Source organism: Homo sapiens, chromosome 11 (assembly GCF_000001405.40).
Source record: "Homo sapiens chromosome 11, GRCh38.p14 Primary Assembly".
Lineage (NCBI taxonomy): Eukaryota > Metazoa > Chordata > Mammalia > Primates > Hominidae > Homo > Homo sapiens.
Genome location: NC_000011.10, coordinates 21,327,573 through 21,350,168, shown reverse-complemented (window position 1 = coordinate 21,350,168; position 22,596 = coordinate 21,327,573). Strand labels below are relative to the sequence as shown.

General features: G+C 37.3%; 1 protein-coding gene across 4 annotated transcripts in view, besides 1 other annotated feature; it reads right to left on the bottom strand.

The window, feature by feature from the left end:
• The window catches only part of NELL1 (neural EGFL like 1), a 906,136-nt gene that overhangs the window by 225,518 nt on the left and 658,022 nt on the right, over positions 1 to 22,596 (bottom strand). The window lies entirely within an intron of this gene.
• Positions 17,185 to 17,354: an enhancer, noted in NCBI's record as "experimental_20242 CRE fragment used in MPRA reporter constructs". NCBI's record gives its function as "activates a minimal promoter by MPRAs in K562 erythroleukemia cells, with activity observed for both the introgressed and non-introgressed 11:21354446 variant alleles {active_cell/tissue: K562}" and the evidence as "EXISTENCE:reporter gene assay evidence [ECO:0000049][PMID:34662402]".

The window sequence follows — 22,596 nt, the reverse complement described above, 5'->3', positions numbered from 1 at the left end:
GTCTAAATAATTAAATAAAGTGAATCAAAATATCATCCAAAAATGTTTTAATTCTGTCTCAAATCAGAAAAAAATGGATGTGATGATCACTGGATATAAAAGTTTGAAGCCTCCCAAGCATGACTGCTGAGGTGTCCTATCATCTATCAGATTTTTAAAAATTATTGGCTATGTTGGACAGCAAGTAAAAGGTCTAAGTCTTAATTATTTTAAGAGGTGCACAGTTAATTGAAATGATTACAATATAGTAGATTGTGAAACATTTAATAAAAGGCCATATCAAATTATATTCATAATATTGGCTTCATAGGGCATTATTGTAATAAGATACAGCCATATTGAGGACACATGGACCTATCTAGGATCTCAGACTTATGTTCACTACAGTAGGTCACCAAGCTAAACTATAATGCAGCAATGTACTGCAACCTACACTGTAGCATTTGCACAAGCAGCAAAGATATAAAGGTCTCTCTATCCACAGACAATATAACATATACATTCCCAAACTCAAGTGATCAAAATCAGTCTCTTCCTCTGATTCACTGCTTTAAAAAAAAAAGGACACTATTTTACTAGGAAAACACAATAGACTGAGTTCTGTATTATTTTTTCAAAATAAAGGCATTTCAGAGTGACAGAAAGCATTGTAGATTTAAAATTAAAACCAATAACCATAACACCATGAATTTTCAAAACCATTTTCTGGGGTTTTCAGCAAAGTCTTTTTTGAATGCAGTACATTCCCTGAGCAGTTTTTCATGCTGATAAAACTAAGGTTGATGCTCCCAATACTTGCCAAATAGACTCAGGCAGGTGTTTGTGAATTACATTTCCCTGCAACTATATAGACCATGGATAGGCTAACTATTGTCATACATGTTAATGCTTTTCCAGCTTCCATAAAATAATATCACTGATGAGTGGCACATTTCAACTCCTACAGCTGTCTAAGGCATCACACATATACCAGTTGCCTTAAAAGCAAGAATTTTTTTTTCCTCTTGTTATTTTCTCTTTCCATTCACCCAAGAGTTGTAGCTCTAATACAGAATCATCCTCTGTGATTCTACCCAGGCACATGGTTGCCAAATGACCTTTTGTGCTTTCCTCTACATCTCATTAGTGTTGGTTCAGACACACCTGATTTCCTGTTATTTCACTCCTCTGCATAAAGACCTGTGAAGGCTCTTCGTAATTACTTAAAGAAGTGTTTCTTGACATGATATATGAAGCCATTCATAATCTGACCCCAGCCCAACTTTCCTAAAGTTTCTCTTAATGTTTTCCATATATGTTACCTAATTGTTTGATAAACAAAATTCTCCTCCAGAAAGTTTCCTAGTATTTCACATGACTGTTCACTCTGTAATTCCTTCCCCATTTATCAATTCAGCCTTCAAGACTTAGTAGTCCTATGGGGATTTTTCCAGGCCCAGATAAAATAAGTCATTTTTTGCTCCATGCTACCACAACCCCTTGCTGGTATCAAAGCCCTTTAAAAATGCATTTAGCATGTAGCATGTGCCAGGTAATGTACTAAACATTTTAACACTGTTTTTTTTCTTTTCTTTTAACCCCACCCCAAAATGCCATAAGGTAGGTGCTATTTTTATCCAAACATTATAAATCAAGAAATAAATGCTTAAATATCTTATCAAATTTATATAGCTCATGAATGGTAAAGCACCAGACACATTTTATTAAAATTATTGGTTTACATGTACTTTACTTTTATTCCAGCTTACAAAAGAGAAAGAGCCCTAAAATCCTCATTTCTGTATCTCCCCTAGAGCTCAGCACAGGGTCCGGTACACATAAGTAAGTGAATACCACATGTTCAGTGACTAACTAAAAGGATGTCAAATTCAAAGAACATTCTTTGTTCTAATATATTCTACCATATTTTTACATTTCATCTTATATCCAAAGTCTTCACTCTACTGAGGAAATAGAAGTAAGGTTTGGGAAATAGCCTGAGCATGCCTCTACCTCCTAATGTTATCTTAATGATTCTATCTAGAAAGCCATATCTTATATTAAATAGAAAAAATTATTCTGGAAGACATTGCAACCCAAGTTGCACAACAATAATTCACCCTGTCTTGGAGCTTCTAGCCACATCAGGTCACAACACTCCTTGTCCTGTCATATCCTTGTTAGCTCAGCCTTTTCAGTTCCAAAGCTTTATCCTCCATTCTCTTTCCAGCTCCTAAGATTGGCAACCTTCTTTTGAACTACTTACTTCAAATCAGACATGCGCCCCTTTTCTGGACACAATTTGGTCCCTTGGCTCCACATACTACCAATGCCAATATAAGGCACCGGTGGTTACCTTCCACTGGCTCCCAGGACTCTGCCTGGAAAAATCTGCACTTGACTCAGCTCCAAACTTTCAAGAAGGGTGACTAAATGGATAGAAATTCTTACTAATAATAATGACTCAGTGTTTAATTTTATATATGTCCATAATTTGTTAAAAGATAAAATTGAAGATCTTAAGAAAAATGACACCTCTAGTAAATGTCCTGTTATGGTTTCTTTTGTTGTTGTTGTTTGTTTGTTTTAGGCAGAGTTTTGCTCTTGTTGCCCAGCCTGGAGTACAATGGCGCAGTCTTGGCTCACTGCAACCTCTGCCTCCCAGGTTCAAGCGATTCTCCTGCCTCAGCCTCCCAGGTAGCTGGGATTACAGGCATGCACCACCACACTCGGCTAATTTTTTGTATTTAGTAGAGATGGGGTTTCACCATGTTGGTCAGGCTGGTCTCAAACTCCCGACCTCAGGTGATCCACCTACCTCAGCCTCCCGAAGTGCTGGGATGACAGGCATGAGCCACCAAGACCAGCCCCGTTATGATTTTATTCTTCAAACAAGCCAAACTCTTTTCCACTTTAGGGCCTTTACACTTGTTGTTCCCTTTGACTAGAACACTCACCTCCAAGTTGTTCACATAGCTCATAGCATCACTTCATTCTCTTCTCCACTCAAATGTCAACTCCTCGGAAATGCCTTGCATGACCTAGGATTTCTTAAACAACACCACTGCCACTCTGTGCCTTTACCCTGCTTTGTCTTCCCTCACAGCACTTGTCTCTCCATGATGTTCAAGTGTCAGCAACAGCAGCAGCAGCATTGTTAAGTTTATAGAGCACATAACTTTTGCCAAAGATTGTCTTAAGCACTTTATATGGATCAGGCATATAATCTCCTAAACTAGCTTAACATTTGGTTATTATTATTGTATGCCACGTTATAATAAGAGGCTATAGAGGTTCTGTAAGTTACCCCAAGATCATCTACATAGTAAATGGCTTTTGAGTAGAGTTAGAAGGTGAAGTAGGAGTTTTTCAAGTAAGTGAGAGAGCAAGGCATTTTAGCAGTGAACATGGCATAGGCATTTTAGTGTGTGTAGTGAATATTTTGTGATTTTTTCCTGTTAAGCATCTATGCTTCATTAATAGTCACACATTATATATCATATATATTATATATTTAATTTGATATTATAAATTGATATTATATCATATAATTAATATATATTTGATACAGCATATATATCAAATATCATACATTATATATTATATTTATCATATATATTATTATATCAAATACCACATATTATTATATATCATATATAATAAATTATATATAATTTATTTAATATTTTAAATTTAATAATTGAATTATATTGATATAATTTATTTCAGGAATCCCTCTTACCCTTTCTCTCCATTTATATGGCTTGGGTACAGTTGGCTGCATGTCCCAGTTCCAAGAATGGAAGTATATAACTCAATCAATTCAAAGAGAATTTTTTCTTGATGCTATTGTGGGGTTGGGGCTGGTGGGAAGTACTCTTGATTCAATGGAATTCACTAGCTAATATAATTCTGGACCCAGCAGTGGCCATCTTTTCTTCTTCTTGTTAGAACCTGCCTGAGAACAAAGTCTAATGCAGAAAAATTCAGATAGAAGGAAAGAGGAGAGAGACAGAGGAAGAGAGAGATGTTTCCTCACACTAATTTGGAAGTCTTGAGTCCAGCCATGCTTGCTCTATCCCTGGATTTTTAGTTTCAGGAACCAAAAAATCCAAGGTGATCTTAAGCCAGTTTGACTTAGGTTTGCAACAGTTCTCAGAGAAACACATTTTACTAATATGGCACAAAAGCAGGCTATCATGTATTTGGGAACTTCAACTAATAGTATTGGTGGAATCTAAAGTGCTAAGAAAAAGTTATAGGACATGAGGTTTGAGGCAGAAGCACACTGTGATTGCAAGTAGGTAAAAGCTGATATGAAGGTGCCAGTTATTCCTATTGCTGGTCGTGCAGATCTCATACATAAGGCTGTAAGTTCTGTGAAAAATTCAAAGCACACAAACAGTGATATTGAAGAAACTGCTCTGGAACATGAAAAACTCATTTGGGAAAAGACATCTTCTATCTTTAGGAAGATGATTTATTTTACAGCAGTCAGCGAAGTCGTGCTACTGCAGAGGTTATGCAGCATTAATATTGCATGTTATAGTAGACAAGGCATAGTCCAATAGCATGAAACATAATGTCTTGGGATGATACTAGGACCTGTGGTCAGAAGATCTGTTTTCATGTCCCAGCATCTTTCCCTGAGCATACACCCACTAAGTGACTGAGGAAAAGTCACTTGACACTCATGAAATGGAGAGAATGGCCCCTGCTCTGTCAACTTCACAGCTTTGGAGATGTCTAAATAAGATATGGATATGCAAATGCTTTGAAAATAGTAAAGCTTTGAGAAAATGTTCATTAATGTTAATGTTGTCAGAAGGTGGGGATAGGGTACACTTAAACACTCATTTTGTGTGTGACATTGAGCAACTCATTAAACCCTTGGGATTTCAGTTTATTTCCTTCTAAGAAGGGATTGGACTTAATGGTGTTCAGTGTTCCTTCAAACTATAACATTATTTCAGTCATTCCCTAAATCTTCCTTTGCAGAAGAGGCAAATAGCCCAAATTAACAAAGTGACTAATTGGAATTTTTCCAGAAGGCTAAACCAAGCTACTTCTGGGCTCAATCACAGGTAAATCCCACAGTCAGCAGCACCTACAGCTACAACATGAATCACAGAAGCAGAAATCCCAGTGTTAACTCTGAGCCATAAATGGGTTCAATTTGCATAAACTATTCAGTTTAATAAAGCAGTTAGTTTATTGTGCATTCTTTGGGAAAGACTTCAATAAAAATTATTAAAATTAAAGGATTAAATTACAAGGAAAATTCACTTAGTGTTGACACATTTTTTTTTTTCCTGGAGAAGCAGAATAATTAAGGTGCTCATAAAACAACAACTATCATTGCAGAGCATTTTCACAGCCAAAAATTGCTTTGAAGTTCACTGAAACACTAATAAGGCAGGCAGGTATAATCCCCATTGTAAAGATAGAAAAACCGATGCGTTGGCTATCACTTGATTCACAGCCAAAACACAGAGTTAACAGGTAGAACAGCTGGAATTTGAAGGTTGAGTCTTTTGACTTCCAATTCTCTTTCTATTAGGTTATATTTCCTCTTTATACCATCTATCCCAGACTTACAATTAAATACCACTGCTATTCCTTTTATGTTATGCACATACAGGATACTGCTGAGTTTTTAAACAGAGAAAAAAAAAAGAAAATTGTTATGAGAGGCCTAGAACAGCTGAATGTTATTCAGCTGAGTTCACATGAGTTTGCTGTCTGGGTTTACACAACCAAATACACATTAAATAATACTATAGCTTCTACACCAGATTTCAAGCCCAGTGCCCACATGTATGACTGACAGAACTCAATTAGTACTGCTCTCTGCTGCCTGATTTCTTAGTGACACCAAGTTATCTCAGCATGTTATGGCTGCTGAAATCTCTCTACCAGCTCCTGCTGCAATTGAGTATTGATTGAAAAATTCTATTACTGTACTTAGTTACACAGCTTTCAATAAACAGTTCACAGACAACACTGGCTGGTTTCAAGGAAAGCCACAACATTTGAGGGCAATAGGATACCCGAGAAAATTAGAAGCCTTAGATGCTCAGACAGAATGCGCAGATCTCTGTGTTAGAATGTGACCTGGTAATTTAGTATGTACTGATTTGCTTCTGTTCTTCAAATGGGGCACATCTGCTTGGTACAAAATTAAAAATGTTCAACAGCAACCTGATTATACTTCAAATAAAAGCAAGAATAAAAACAAGAATCAGCACCTGGCACATGATGATTTGGAGGGCATAGTACACTCCCAGTTCAATTAACATTGATTGAGCCCCTCCTTTAACACAGACACTGAGCTAGGTGCTACAGAATCTAAGAAAGATAAGAGGATCCCCATCCTCAAGAGGCTTAGATTAGGGGTTGGCAACCTACAACCCACTGGAGAAATCCACCCTGCCATCTATTTTTTTGTAAGTAAACTATTGGAACCACAGTGAAGCTCATTAATTTACATATTGTCTTTGGCTGTTTTTGTGTTACAAAGGCAAAACTGGGTAATTTTGATGAAGACCATATGCTACACAAAGCTAAAATATCTAATACCTGGTTCTTTACAGAAGAAGTTTGCCCACCCATGGCCTAGACTGTTGTGGCAGCAACAGACACTAATGGATGATTTGAAGGCAATGTCCTAAATTCCTGATAATCAGATCACAGAGTAATTAAAAAAACATTAAGGAAGGGTACCTAAGCTTTCCAAAGGCTGCCAAGAGGAAGTGATGCATGAGCTGTGTCTAAGAGATTGAGCAGAGTAGGCTAGGTGAAGAAAGATAAGGAAAGAGAGGGAGGCTGCAAAGCAGATGATCCTGCACAAGCCAAAGTGCAGACTCGTTGAGCAACGAGATCATGAATCATATACATTTGTGAAAATGCATCCTGCATAGAAGCAGCTGAATTATATAAGTCTTAAGAGGAAGACAGGGCTTTGGACATGAAGAATCTTGTATGCCATGCTGGGGAGTCTGGACTTTATTTGTATGGAATGGCAATTAGAGTAAACAAAGGAATAATATAGTCAAATTTATATTTTGAATAGAGCTTTCTTGGTGCAAAGAGCAGTATCTATTGCAAGAGACAAAACCAAAAGCTGTTAGACTTAGGAGGCAGTTGAATAGTCCAAGCGACAGGTCTCTGGGGCCTAGGCTGTGGTTGTGGTGAGCTTTCCATTCAACAGTATTAAAAGAAGAACAACAAAGAGGAAGATGTGCTTCCTGGAGGAATTTCCTTATAAATGATGCTAACCAAAAACACAGTCAACATTTCTGCATCTGATATAAAGAGTAATGGAAAATCACTGTAAGGAATGTTCAGTGGATACTGAATGTAATAAGAAAAAGAAGAGAAAGGTAACCAGTAGCTCAGCATTTGTTTGGCACCAGACACAATGCTAAGTTCCTCACATGCATACTATTCTCTTTCTTTCTCTTTCTCTCTCTCTCTCTCTCTCTCTCCCTCTTCCTTCCTTTCCTATCTCTTTCTTTTCTTTTTCTTTTTCTTTTTTTTTTTTTTTTAAAGACAGTCTCTCTCTGTCATCCAGGCTGGAGTGCAGTGGCATGATCATGGCTCACTCCAGCCTCGACTACCTGGGCTCAAGTGATTCTCCCTCCTTAGTCTCCCAGGTAGCTGTAACTACAGGCACATGCCACCATGCCTGCTAATTTGTTTATAATGTGTAGAAATGTGGTCTTGCTATGTTGCCCAGGCTGGTCTCGAACTCCTGGCCTCAAGTGACCCCCCCCCCCACTTAAGCCTCTCAAAGCACTGGGATTACAGGCACAAGCCACCATGCCCAGCAGTATTTAAGTCTTTCTATTGCTATAAACAGATAAGTAAATGCTATTGCACCCATGTTAAAGTGAAAGAAGGGATATCCCTTGAGATTATGTAAAGTGCTTAGTAGGGAGCCTGGGACATGACAGGTGCTCAAAAAGTTTTGGCATCTTTCCTTACAGGAATGTTTGAAAAAATTATCCTTCCTGGATCCAACCAGGAATGAGGGTTTTATCATTCAACAGATGTTTTTTATATACCTTCTCTCACCCAGGCTTTCTGTAGGCACTCCACATACAGTGAAGACAATGGTATTACAGAAGTTACAGTCCATGGTATTGCTATCGACAACTCATTTAGGTTAGTGAAGCTATATTATGGAAGCAAAAATCATTTAGAGAGTTTGAGTCAATCCATATATTAATAACTCATACACATAAACAAGTTTATGTGAACCACTAACAGTGGAAATGTTTAGAAAACGTGAACAAGAAAAATGAGATCTCAATTGATTTCTTCTCCAAAAAAAATGTATTATTACATATAAAGATTTCTTTAAAGGAACTCTAAAAGCTCTAAGGCTCTAAATTTCAAGTGAAGTTTTCTTGCTCTTTCTTTGAAACCAGTATAGATTATACACAAGTTAAGAAAGTGAGTTTTAAGACTTGGTTCCTCATTTAGCATAGTGTGATGTGTGAATAAGCAGTTAATAAACGCCTTTTGATAGATGTAATGGCTTGGTCTGGGGAACAGTTTCAGCTACTGGCCATGCGCTCTTAGCTGGAGAAATTATCCTTCTTTACCCTCCAGTATCAATTCACTCCCGATTAATATAATTCATCACATATACTCCAGACTCCTACAGTCATAAACACTAATTACTTTGAATTACCAACATGAGGCTTTGTTTACAAATGCCTGAGTTTCCTATTTGGAATGATTCCCCTTTGCCTGCCACACACTCATGTGTAAGAATTAAAAAATATGTACAGAATACGCCAAATATGAACTCTTGCTTTTTGGTGATATGAGGAAAACACAGAGATAGAATAGAATTTCTCATAGTCAATAGTTTGTTTTGTAGTTCTGGAGGCTTATGGTGTAACTCTCCCTTTCCTGAACTCTATCACAATGTAGATGTCAAACCTGCAACATTCTGCCTTTGCTGATTTCTAGTGGTCTTACGAATTAGATTAGTCTTGCTGAACACTGTAGGCGTTTTCAAGAAGAGGACATATCATATTTCTTTTTATCAGTCAGTGCTCAACCCAGGTCTAACTACACACTTATTTTTAAATAGGAATAAAGGCTATATTAGCTTATATTTCCAGGGAAACAGAGCTGAGGACAATTTTGAATGCTTACTCATTATAGGGGGGCAGAGATGGAGTTGTCACAATCCAATGACAGCAAGAATAAGAGAATGTGAGAAGTATGGTAGAGAAATAGGTACGTTGATTTACTAGTGTTGCCATAACAAAGTACCACAAATTTGGTGCTAAACAGCATAAATTTACTGTCTCACAGTTCTAGAGGCTAGAAGTCTAAGATCAAGGTGTCAACAGGGTTGGTTCCTTCTGAAGGCTACAAAGGAGGGCCATTTTCATGCATCTCTCCCATCTTCACAATCTTTGGCATTCCTTAGCTTGTAGAAATATCACCCCAATATTTGCCTTCATCTTCAAATGGAGTGTTCTCTCTCTCTCTCATTCTCTCTCATTCTGTGTGTGTGTGTGTGTGTGTGTGTGTGTGTGTGTGTGTGTAACCCGTCATAAAGGGTTAGGTGCCCACCCTACCCTACTCCACTATGCCCTCATCTTAACTAATTATATCTGCAATGACCTTATTTCCAAGTAAAGTCCCATTCTGATACACATTGGGTTACGAGTTCAACACATAAATTTAATTCAACTCATAAAAGTAGGTAAAGCTGGCTGGGCGCGGTGGCTCACGCCTGTAATCCCAGCACTTTGGGAGGCCAAGGCAGGCGAATCACAAGGTCAGGAGATCGAGACCATCTTGGCTAACACTGTGAAACACCATCTCTACTAAAAATACAAAAAATTAGCCAGGTATGGCGGTGGGCGCCTGTAGTCCCAGCTACTCGGGAGGCTGAGGTGGGAGAATGGCATGAACCTGGGGGGCAGAGCTTGCAGTGAGCCAAGATCGCGCCATTGCACTCCAGCCTGGGCGACAGAGTGAGACTCCGTCTCAAAAACAAAAACAAAAGCAAAAACAAAAAGTAGGTAAAGCAAAAATAATAACCTTGTGTATGATGAGCTGGCTAAAGCTTTCCAAGAAAGTAGCAATGGTTTCTTGGTTAAATAGGATAACTCAGGAAAGCCACTGTAGAGCCTCTGCATCTCTGAACAGTTTCTAAGATGGGAGGAAGACAGAACAATTCATGGTCTGTCTCCTTATGACTCCTGTATTCCCTTAAAGTTTGCCTCACGGAGCATTTACTGCCCTGCAACTCCAGTTGATGTTAGCCAGCCCCTGTGGAGCTTTTGGGGAAGCTGGGGCCTCTATAGGTCTAGTCAGGTTGGACTTGGACATGGAAACTGCTGCAGCTTCTGCCAGAGCTAGCATGATGAAGGTGGCCCTAAAGCCTGGCACTTGAGCCCAGAAAGGTGGTAGAATTAGTACATTCTTATTGGTAGCTACAATTTTGATTGTGGGAATGGCAGAAGCCATTGTTCAGCAGTTCCAGCCAGGAAACAGAGCAAGTCACCAAGGACCAGCGGACCCTGATTGCCTGGAGAGGTGCCTAAACTAGGTCTGGTAAACATGAATTTTAAAAACCAGGAAACATAATTATCAGTATTGGCACTGACACGATGAAAAGAAATGTACCAGTTTGGAGAGTTAGCTATAGTGAGTGTATTTGTTTCCTTGGGCTACCATAAGAAACTTAATGTCTTAAACAACAGAAATTCATTGTCTCACAGTTCTATAGGCTGAAGTCTGAAATCAAGCTGTTGTCAGTGCTCTGTTCCCTTTGAAGGCTCTAAGGGAGAAACTTTCCTTGACTCTTCTTAGCTTCTAGTGGTGGTAAGCCATCAGTATCCTTTGGCTTTCAGTTGTGTAACTCCAATCTCTGCCTTTACCTTTATACGGTTGTCTTGCTATGTGTACCTGCCTTCACAGGGAGAATTCCTCTTCTTATAATGGATTAGGGACATCTTCATGATTTTATATGAACTTAATTACATCTGCAGTTACATCCCTATTCCACATACAGTCACATTCTTAGGTACCAAATGTTAGAACTTTGACAATATTTTTGAGGGGACACAATTTAGCCCAGAACAGTGGGGATTAGAATAGGGCTTCAGAACTGGATTCAGCGCTGATTAATTATTTGATCTTAGGTATGTATTTAAATCTATTTAGACTGGAGATTCCATCTTTTTAAAATGAGATTAGTGGCTCTTAATGTTTATAGGTGGACCCTTCTCCATAAAAATGCATAGAACCAAATACACACAAATGTTTCTGGGGATTCACAGGCTTCCTAAAGCCCATCCCTGGATCACTGAGACCAATCTCTGCTCCTCTTGAAACTTTGCAAAGTTACAGTCTTGTCATTTACTTCCATGCTTTATAAACATTTTGCTCAAGTTTTATGAGCCTTTCCAAGTCCTGCTGCAGGGATAGCTCCCTTCAGACATTGAACAAAAAAAAAGGAAATGTTTGTTTCCTCCGTGCAAGACAATTCATGCCAGTAGTTTCAAGGGATGAATGATGTTGGCTATTTTATGAGGATTCAGAGTGTCTCTGTTCCTATAAGTCTGGGGTAAATCCTCATGAAACAAAAGAGTAGTCGCCATCTGTACCCACCCTGGAAACCCTGGAAACTCTGGGGTCAATAACCTTTTCAGGAACATTTATAGATCTGGGCCTTCTCTAGAATAGAAAATCTCACACATTTTAGGCTATACAGAGAATCCCATGTCCATCCAGCAAAGTCTGAGAACCTCTGACACGATGCACATACCCAGTTAAAGTGTGTGTGATGGGCAACCATATGTATTTTCTCCAAGGTTCTCCATTTGTGATTGTCCTCTCTAAAGCAGAAGGATTACACTTTCTTTACCTGTTTAACATGTGCTCACAGTGCTCTGATTTGCATTTAGCAAGCACTGTTGAGTGTAGAACAATATTCAATCAATTCCCACAGCACAACACCTGTCGAAATTGCATGACACCGGCATTTTATTTTTACATTGCATTGTCATTATATCTGTACATCACATCTCTCTCACAGGACGGAAAGCAACTTGAAGTTAGGAATCATGTTTGACTCTTACATATTGCTCAACTTAGAAACAACCTGTCACAGAATAGCAGGACTAGGGCAAGAAAAGCACCTAGGGCACACAGTTTAGGATGCATTCACCCTTAGGGTCATGCAAGTATTCTATAGGATAGATGTATAATTTGTTAAATAGTGGCTAAATGCAAAAGAAATACAAAAAGGTGAAGAAAGACCAGCACTGAAAGAAAGAAAGAAAGAAAGAAAGAAAGAAAGAAAGAAAGAAAGAAAAGAAAGAAAGAAAGAAAGAAGGAAAGCAAGAAAGAAAGAAGGAAAGAAAGAAAGAAAGAAAGAAAGAAAGAAAGAAAGAAAGAAAGAAAGAAAGAAAGAAAGGAAAGAAAGAAAAGAATGAAAAGCGGGAAAGGGAAAAGCAGGGTGCCAGCAGGAAGGAGGGTAGAAATAATTCGTGGGTCAGAGACATCATTCTCTAAATAATCACTTGTTCTTTTACATATTTCTCAGTTTCCCTTGTAGCTGGCCTGGGCCATGTGACTAATTCTAGCCAATGGGCTATGAGCAGAAGTGACAGGGGCCATGTAAGAGCTCCTGTATGCTGTCTAGCCTTCTTTTCTGTTGTTGCAGTGATCTTGGAAGACATATTTTCCATTTGGCATAGCTATAAAATGGAAGAGCAAGATCCAAAGCATATCAGATTTTATGTGAGCAAGAAATACACTTTTATAGAATAAGCTACTGAGATTGGGTGATTTACCATTAGAACAACATAGTTTTTCTATCCTGATTAATACAAGGACATATCAAATGTGATGGATGGAATTATGTGGACTTTTGTTCCTACATTATTTTTCATCATAGAAGAAAAAACAAAAAGAACCCAGTTTATTATGATAGTAAATTATATAGACTGACTAGTACACCCCAGGCCCCTCCATTTTGGTTCCATTTTCAGGAAATACTGCACTCTGTACTCTCAAGCTAAGTACCTTGAAAACTGTCATTTCATTAAGAAAAGCCTAACTAGCTGCCTATTTCTACTTGCATGAAGAATTCTTTCCATTTCAACAATTTACAGAAAAGTTCTTTCTTACAACATCATCTGTTCAAATGGTCACATATTGTTTAACTGAGCATAATATTTGCTGAGATTTCACATGCAAAATTGGTCTCAAATTCAACCCAGGTATCTCTTTATTTAAGCATTATTCTCTCAGCATCTCAATAAGATTCTCAAAGGGAATAACTTTTATTTCCTGTGATTTCTAGAATTTAAGTTGTTCTTCCAATACTTCTTTAATATAATAACTTCAGTAATTAGAATTTTTAAAGGGCCAACTGAGTACAGCAGTGAAAAACAGACAGTAAAACTAAAAAAAGAAGAGTTCAAATACAAAGCATTTCATTCTGATTTCTGTTTAATGTGTGTGTGTGTGTGTATATATATATATATATATATATACACACACATATGAAGCAGTAAGTGTCATGCCAAGAGCAACATGTTAGAAGAAAAAGACCTGAATTCTAGTGTAGCCTTTGTCTGTTCAATTAACTTTATGATCTTGAGCAAATCCACTGTTTGGTCCTTCTTTTTTTTGTGGGGGCAGATAATTTTGAGAAAACCAGGTTAGACTGGAAAGCAAAGTGGAAACAACCTAGATTCTGAATAGAACAGTACTGGGTATAAAACCTAACTTGCCCACTTGTTGACTTTGTCTTGGGCAAGCCACAAATTTCTACAAACCTCAAGTGATTCACTGTTAACAATGGGTACAAACGTATGGAGAGTTGTGAGCTTCAATAAGATACTGTATATAAAAAGGCTTAGCACAGTTCCTGGCTAACAGTAAACACTAAGTATTTGTGTTTCTGTAAGTTCTACATAGATGCAGGATGTTGTTCTTATTACTCATATATACATAAAAAGGTTCTAGTTTAATGTCTAAGGGCAGGTTTAATGTCATAGCCTGAGAAAGTTTACGAAAAAAACACTGAGGCTTTGACATCTCAATAACAGTTTTTATAATAAACTAAGGTTGTATATAAATAATGTTGAAAAATTTTATATGTATTGAATAGTGTACCTTAATTAATGCTATATAAATGTCCATTGTTGATTTCGCATGAAATTAAGACTAAAACAGATTTGTAGTAAACTATGTTAAGGCCTAATATTTATACAGAACTAAAGCAAACTTTGCTTAAGAATGGCAGGCTTTGGTGTCTATTGCCTCTGTCTTTTGGGCTGGGCTGAACATGCAAACAGAGATGATTTATAAAACATGTTAAGGCCATCAGTCAATTGGCTCTCTCATCCATTAAGATGTACTTGGCATCATATACAAAACATAATGGCTTGACCAAAATTTTACTTGCTAACTGAATGTTGTGTACAAATGGATTTGCGTTTTTAGAGGGTGGGGAAAGGACCTAATAATGTCATAAGCTTTATTTGACTGTCTTCAGGTAGACAACTTCCCAGATGCCCTGACAGTGGGGATCCATCTGCTTCTGAAAGATCCCCTGTGAAGGGAATGTTTTAATTTCCATTGGCAGATAACAAATAAAAGGCATTGGAAATTTCACACCCAGATGAAGGGTGATGCTTAATCCAAAGTGATTTATGGCTTGAGCCACACGATTATTATTGACAATTCCTTGATTAGATCTTTGGCATTTTCCTCAGTCATAGCTTTTTCCCACTCTAAATAAAATAGGATAAGAAAAAACTCAGGTACTGACACAAGTAATAGGAAAGTGAGAAAAATAGAGAGAGAGAGAGGAAATAGTTAAAGTCAAATTGATTGCATAAGGATATTTGTCCTTTTCTAGCTCTTGATGTAACTGCAAAAAATATTTAGAAATATCTATAGGAAATATCTCAGGATAGAATTAAAATAGAATGAATAAAATTCAGAACACTTTTAAGTGATTCAGGCATTTAAAATGCTATTTTAAAACATTTCAACTTTTATGTTTTGAAATATCTTCCATATTATGAGTTTTAAAGGGTAATAAGTGGTCTTTTTTTCCTTAATTGAATTTGATTCCACTTTTGGAGCCTCTTCAAATGGCTTAATGTGTTCAGAGAGGACACCATGCCTCTAATTCTGTTGACGCAAAGAGATTTTTTTTAAACTGTGAAACAATGGATAACCAAAACAACATGTTTGCTAATCCTGCTCTGGGACAGCTAGGCATTTTATCTGTTTTTTTCTCTTCCTCTTTCTGCTCCCTCAGTACCTGCTCTCAATCTCCTTCTCCAGCTGCCTCAGCAGATACAGCATATTGACATACAATATATTGATGGATTAACCCAGCTCCTGGTAAAGCATCTACACAATTGCAGTTACTCAACGACACAGTCGCCAGAACATTGTATGAAAACTAATAAAATGGTTAAAATTCTCAGAAGACACAAATAGGCAGCCAAATTAAGATACCAGAAAATTGTAGGCGTGAGGGTATGTATTCCATACATATTTTTGAATTCTACAAAGATATAATAGAAATAGAAAGAAAGAGAGAGGGACTTAGAAATAGGGGAAAACAGAGAGACAGAGACAGGTCTCTTACACAGTCCTTTAGGAGAATAGTGACCACAGAAATTCTTTAGGTGGGGGTATTATCTTAGCATACTCTATTATGAATATAATGTTTGTCTAATCAGACAAACTGTAGCCTGTGGCCTGTTTTCGTAAGGGCTTTGTGACTTAATTTTTTTTAGATATAAAATATTTTTAAAACTTACCAACAAGGCATTTTGGTAAGAAGAATTGTTCCATTTTGCCTATTGGCTCAAAAAGCCTAAAATATTACTGTCTTTCTCTTTACCAAAATAGTTTTAGACTCCTGGCCTCCAATATTTACCACCCATAATATCTGCACTTCTCCTTTGTAGCATTCATTATACCTATGTTCTTTTTATGCTCTAATGTTTGTCTATTCTTCTACACACGTTCCTTGAAGGTAGGAATAAGTTCTATGGTTTTTACATATCAATGTCCTCAGTACCAAACACAGTGCTTAAGACATAGAAATCACTCAACAATGATTTAATTTAAAAATTAATAAATGAATGAACTCCAATGCACATGCAGAAATTTCTATGGCCCTTAAGTAATTGTGTGTTCCAACCCAAAAATGGACATTAAAGAAGAAGGGACCTGCCCCAAATCTCACGACTCAGCAGTGGAGAAAAAGGAATTTCAATTCAGTGATACCAACTCCAATTCCAGTAAAATTCTACCACAGACTTCCTTTGAGCAAACAAGAAAAGAGCCAATTTTGTGTGACCTGGTTTAAACATATGTGCATGGAGAATAGATAAGCCAGGGACAGCAGTCACTTACTGGACAAGGAAAAGTGACACAATCACTACTAGGTCTCCTTTTCCTCCTCATCACTTTCCCCAGCCAAATGCTTCAATGCTTTAGTGAATCTCTTTACAAAGTCCAGGAGCTGAATATAGACGACAACCCATGGTGACAGTAAATGGAAAGAGATGTATCGATGGGAACCATGTGATGAAACTAAATACACACATATGTGTATACATACATATGGAAGAAAGTTTGAAAGCACATAATCCACATTATGCTATTTAATTTATTACAAAGAAAGCAAAGGCTAGATCATATGACTTCATCCTTGTCTACTCAAACTGCATCTTCATCTTTTAATCTTTCTATTTCTATTTCTATAATCACAACAATGATGGTGGCCGTAGTGATGATATGGCAAGAATGGTTTACCTACATTGTCTGATTTCACCTTAACCGTAACCTAGAAAGAAAGGAAGTAAATGATAGAATTCAAAACTAGGTCTTTCTGACTGCAAGTCTGGCCATGGTATCCATTGTCTTAAATGAGAAACACCCACTTTGGATGCTGCTTTGCCCTTTAGTCTTTACATCCTAGTCCTTATGTCCTCATTTTCATTTTTATTGGTTTTAAGCAAATTTTACCTTTTAAAAGGAAGCACACAGTATTATCTGTCTTAATCTTATATCACCCAAGAATGACCTTAAGTCCATGGAACAAAATTGATATACATGAATTCTAAAATAATGAAAAATGACATTCAACCACTTTCCTGTGATATGCACTTATTGATTTATTTATACCACATCATTTTCTACAAGTTGTTTAAAGAAATTTAGAATAAAAGACACACAAAACCATCTTATAACTTATACCAAAAATAATCTCAGTAGACTGAATATTAATTATAAAAAGTGAAGCCCCTCAAACACCCATGAAAGAAATTCTAGGAAAATGTTTGTTCTCTAGTTGGAAGAAATTATTAAAAAAATAATTTCAGTTATATAAAAATTAAAATATGGAAATCATAAAACTGTAAAATAATTTAAAAGTGAATGACACAAAGGAAAATATTGTTAGCTAATACAACAGACAAAAATCAAAATTTTGAATTTTTAAGGAGCTTGGTCAAATAAGAAAAACACAAAGCCACAAAAATCAAAGACAGGACTTCCACTTCTTCCCATGAAGATTTAGTTTGTATGAGACTATACCTTCTACCATAAGCAATCATAATTGTATAAAATATATAAAACAACTGTTTTCAGACATCAAACAAGGAGTAGCAAAGGATATAATGACACATAGAAGGGATACAAATAAAGGGATCCCCAAGATTGCCTCAACTTTGTGTCTGCAGGTATATTCTAGAAAAATGGCATAGGATAAGCAACTCTAAACAGGGCACAGTACTCTTGCTGCAATCAGGAGACAATGATTAGAGTTTGAAGAAGCCAAGGTGACTGGAATTAAGGGGGCAGAGTACCTAACAGGAGGAAACTGTACAGAGAACACTTTGGAAATCTCCATAGGAGCCCCCTTGGACCTTTGAACGCAAAGCAGTGCATCCTTAGAATAATACACAGAAAAGCCAGTCAAAGAATAACCAATGGGGCATTATGACAAGAACGTATGGAAGCTTAATAAGTCTGGGAGACATTAAAGTTCTGATCAGTAAGAGCTGAGAGTCCAGTTGAATACTTGAGTAATTCAATAGAGACCTCAGAAAGACCATCTATAGAAATAGTTCTAGAACTAACTGAGCCCTAGGGTAAAGTCTATATTAGACTGACACGAACCAAACTTAGAAGGAAGCCTCAACATGCCACAAGGGGAAAGAGCGCCAAAGAGCTCCTCAAAATCACTGATTTTATTTAGAAAAGAGAGTGGGGAAGTTCAAGCTTTAGGGCATTCTCAAAAACCAGGAAGATTTCAACAATAAGCAATTAAGAGAAGGCTGATACCTCCATAAGAGCAATAAACTAAACCACAAGTCAGCTAGTTTATCAGAGTGAACTGGGAAAGAGACAGCAATAAAGAGACCTCCTGTGGTTAGAACATACTTCAAAGCCTGGCCTCAAAAAACTTCTGCAAAGAGGTCTGAAATTAATTGGATCAGATTGTAGGGTAATTTATTTCCCACAGCATTGTCCAAAACAATAAAGTGACTGACTGAAAATTAGCAAACACTAATACCTGAGTGTATTACCAGTAGAGTCAGGCAGTTTACCAGCAAGACCAAAGAAGGGAAGAGTCAAGGATAGTTCTGAGAAAACTACTGTCTCCCAGAGTGACTGTGAGCATGCCAAAGCCTGCATCCTCTGAGGAACAACATCAGAGGCTTTACACTGCTTTACACTGCCAGTGTCACTAAATTTATTCAGCCAAGTCACTAAACAAATAAGCATGCAAACAAATAAAAGATAAGAAAAAGCAGTTTTAGGGAAGGGGACACTGCTACATTATATTATCTAAAATGCCTACTGTTCTAAAAAAAAGGGAAACATGCAAATAAACAGGAAAGTATAACTCATGCACAGAAAAATAAAAATAAAAAGCAGACAACAAGAGGTGCCATGAGAAGGACTAGATATGAACATGACAAAGACTCTAAAGCAACTACAATAAATATGTTCAAAGTACTAAAGAAAAATATGCTTAGAGAGGTTAAGGAAGATATGAGGGCAATATCTCATCAAATAAAAAATAAGAATTATTTTTACAAGAATCTAATGGAAATTCTGCAGTAGGAAACTAATATAACTGAAATGAAAAATGTACTAGAGGGTCTCAAAAACTGATTTGAGTGGGTAGAAGAATCAGCTAACCTGGAGACAGACGAATAAAGATTATGCAATCTGAACAACAGAAAAGCAATGAAGAAAAATTTTAAAAGTTTCAGAGATATGAAGACCACCATTAATTGTACCAATATATGCAAAATTGGGGTGCCAGAAGAAGAGAAAAAACAGAAAGGAACAAAAATATTTTTAATAAATAATGGTTAATACTTTGCAAATTTCACAGAAAGAATTGACACATCCAAGAAGCTCAAAAAAATTCCAAGTAAGATAAACACAGATATACACCCAGACACATCATAGTAAAAATGTTGAAAGTAAAATACAAAGAGAAAATCAGGAAAACAGCAAAGGAAAAATGACTTATTATACATAAAAGAATCCCAGGCAGATTAACAACTGACATCTCACCAGAAACAGTGGAGGCCAGAATATAGTGAGATGACATGCATATTCAAAGTGCTGAAAGAATAAAACTAACAAATTTCTCATTCCCAGAAAAACTATCTTTCAAAAATGAAGAAAAAAAGAGCCATTTTCAGAGGAACAAAATTGACAGAATTTGTTGCTAGTAAAGGCACTTGCAATAACTATTAAAAGAATTTCTTCAGTCTAAAACCAACTGACCCCCAAATGGAATTCTATTCCACATGGTGTGAGGGAGGAGAAGCACAAGTAAAGGTAATTAAGCAATTTTTAAAGACAGTATAAATGCATATTTTCCTTTTTTCTCTTAACATGTTTTAAATGGAATTGCATAATATGATGTGTATGCATTTGTATTGTTAAGCCTATAACATATGTAAATATCTATACTTAACAACATATGTAAATATTTATACTTGCCACACAAAGAAGGTAGTTAGGAGCAAAGCTATATTGAAGTAGGGAGAATATATTAATTGGTTACCGAGATCCACAGGAAAAAAGGAAGAGAACCAACAATGGTAAATAAGAAGTTTACTATGACAAAATTTACAAACATATAATTTATTTTCTTCTCTCAGCTACTTTAAAAGACATTAAGCTATATATAGAAATAATTATTGTAATTCATTATTGGGTTTATAACATATAGATGTAACATGTACAGTATAACAACAGTGGCACAAAGAAGAAGAGAAAACAGAACTATGTGAGAATAACATCTCTATAGATCACTGGTATTAAATTACTATTAATCTGACATAGATTCTCATTAGGTACATATGGTAAGCCCTAGAGGAATGATTTACAAAAATTACCCAAGACATCTAGTAAAAAAGGATCATTAAAGTAATTAAAACATTACACAAAAAAGCATTTACCTAATGCCAAAGTATACAGTGTACTTTAAAAAGGCTTATATGTATACTTTAAAAAGTGGGTTTAAAAAGAAGGATAATTTATACTGTATATAGAATTCATGCTAAGTGAGTAGATTCTAGTTGCTATTACAATATTTAACTATATGAGATGATGAATATGTTAATTTGCTTCACTATAATCACCTTTTCACATCTATAGTGTTTTAGTCCATTCTCACACTGCTAATAAAGGCATACTCAAGACTGGGTAATTTATAGTGGAAAGAAGTTTAATTGACTCACAGTTCAGCATGATTAGGGAGGTCTCATGAAACTTACAACCATGGTGGAAGGGGAAACAAGCAATCCTTCTTCACATGGCAGCAGCAAGGAGAAATACTGAGCAAAAGGGGGAAAAGCCCCTTATAAAACCATCCTGTGAGAACTCACTAACTGTCATGAGAACAGCATGAGGGTAACTGCCCTCATGATTAAATTACCTCCCACTGGGTCCCTCTTACAACATGTGGAGATTATGGAAACTACAAGATGAGATTTGGGTAAGGATACAGATGAACCATATCATTCTGCTTCTGGACCCTCCCAAATCTCAAGTTCTCATGTTTTGTAACATAATCATGCCTTTCCCAATAGTTCTCCAAAGTCTTAACTCATTTCAGCATTAGCCCAAAAGTCCAAGTCCATAGTCTTATCTGATACAAGGCAAGTCTCTTCTGCCTATGAGCCTGTAAAATCAAAAGTAAGATAGTTACCTCCTAGATATAATAGAGGTATGGGCATTGGGTAAATACACCCATTAAAAATGGGAGAAATTGGCCAAAACAAAGGGGCTACAGGCCTCATGCAAGTTTGAAATCCAATAGGGCAGTCATTAAACCTTAAAGTTTCAAAATGATGTCTTTTGACTCCATGTCTCACATCCAGGTCATGCTGATGCAAGAGGTGGGCTCCCATAGTCTTGGGCAGCTCTGCCTCTGTGGCTTTGCAGGGTATAGCTCCCCTCCTGGATGCTTTCATGAGCTGGTGTTGAGTGTCTGCAGTTTTTCCAGGGGTATGGTGCAAGCTGTTGGTGGATATACCATTCTGGAGTCAGGAGAACGGTGGCCCTCTTCTCACAGCTCCACCAGGCAGTGCCCCAGTGGGAACTCTGTGTGGAGGCTCCAACCTTACATTTCTCTTCCACACTGCCATAGGAGAGGTTCTCCATGAGGGTTCTACCCCTACAGCATACTTCTGCCTGGACATCCAGGTGTTTCCATACATCCTCTGAAATCTAGGCGGAAGTTCCCAAACCTCAATTCTTGACTTCTGTGCACCTACAGGCTCAACACCACGTGTAAGCTGCCAAGGCTGAAGGCTTGCACCCTCTAAAGCAACAGCCTGAACTGTACATCGGCCCCTTTTAGCCCTGGCTACAACTGAAACATCTAGGACATAGGACAACCTGTCCCAAGCTGCATAGAGCAGTGAGGCCATAGGTCCAGCCCATAAAACAATTTTTTCCTCCTAAGCCTCCAGGCCTGTGATGGGAGGGGTTGCCATGAAGGTCTCTGATAACCCCTGGAGACATTTTCCCCATTGTCTTGCTAATTAACACTTGGGCCCTCATTACTTGTGCAAATTTCTGCAGCCAGCTTGAATTTCTCCACAGAAAATAGGGTTTTCTTTTCTAACACATCATCACATTGTAAATCATCCAAACATTTATGCTCTGCTTCCTCTTGAACACTTTCCTGCTTAGAAATTTCTTCCCCAGATACCCTAAATCATCTCTCCCGAGTTCAAAGTTCCACAGATCTCCAGGGCAGATGCAAAATGCCACCAGTCTCTTTGCATAGCAAGAGTAACCTTTACTCCAGTTCCCAACAAGTTCCTCATCTCCATCCGAGACCACCTCAGTATGGACTTCATTGTCCATATCATTACTAGCATTTTGGTCAAAGCCATTCAAGAAGTCTCTAGGAAGTTCCAAACTTTCCCACATCTTTCTATCTTCTTCTGAGACCTCCAAACTTTTCCAACCCCTTCCTGTTACCCAGTTCCAAAGTCACTTCCACATTTTTGGGTATCTTTCCAGTGGTGCCCCACTACACAGTACAAATTTACT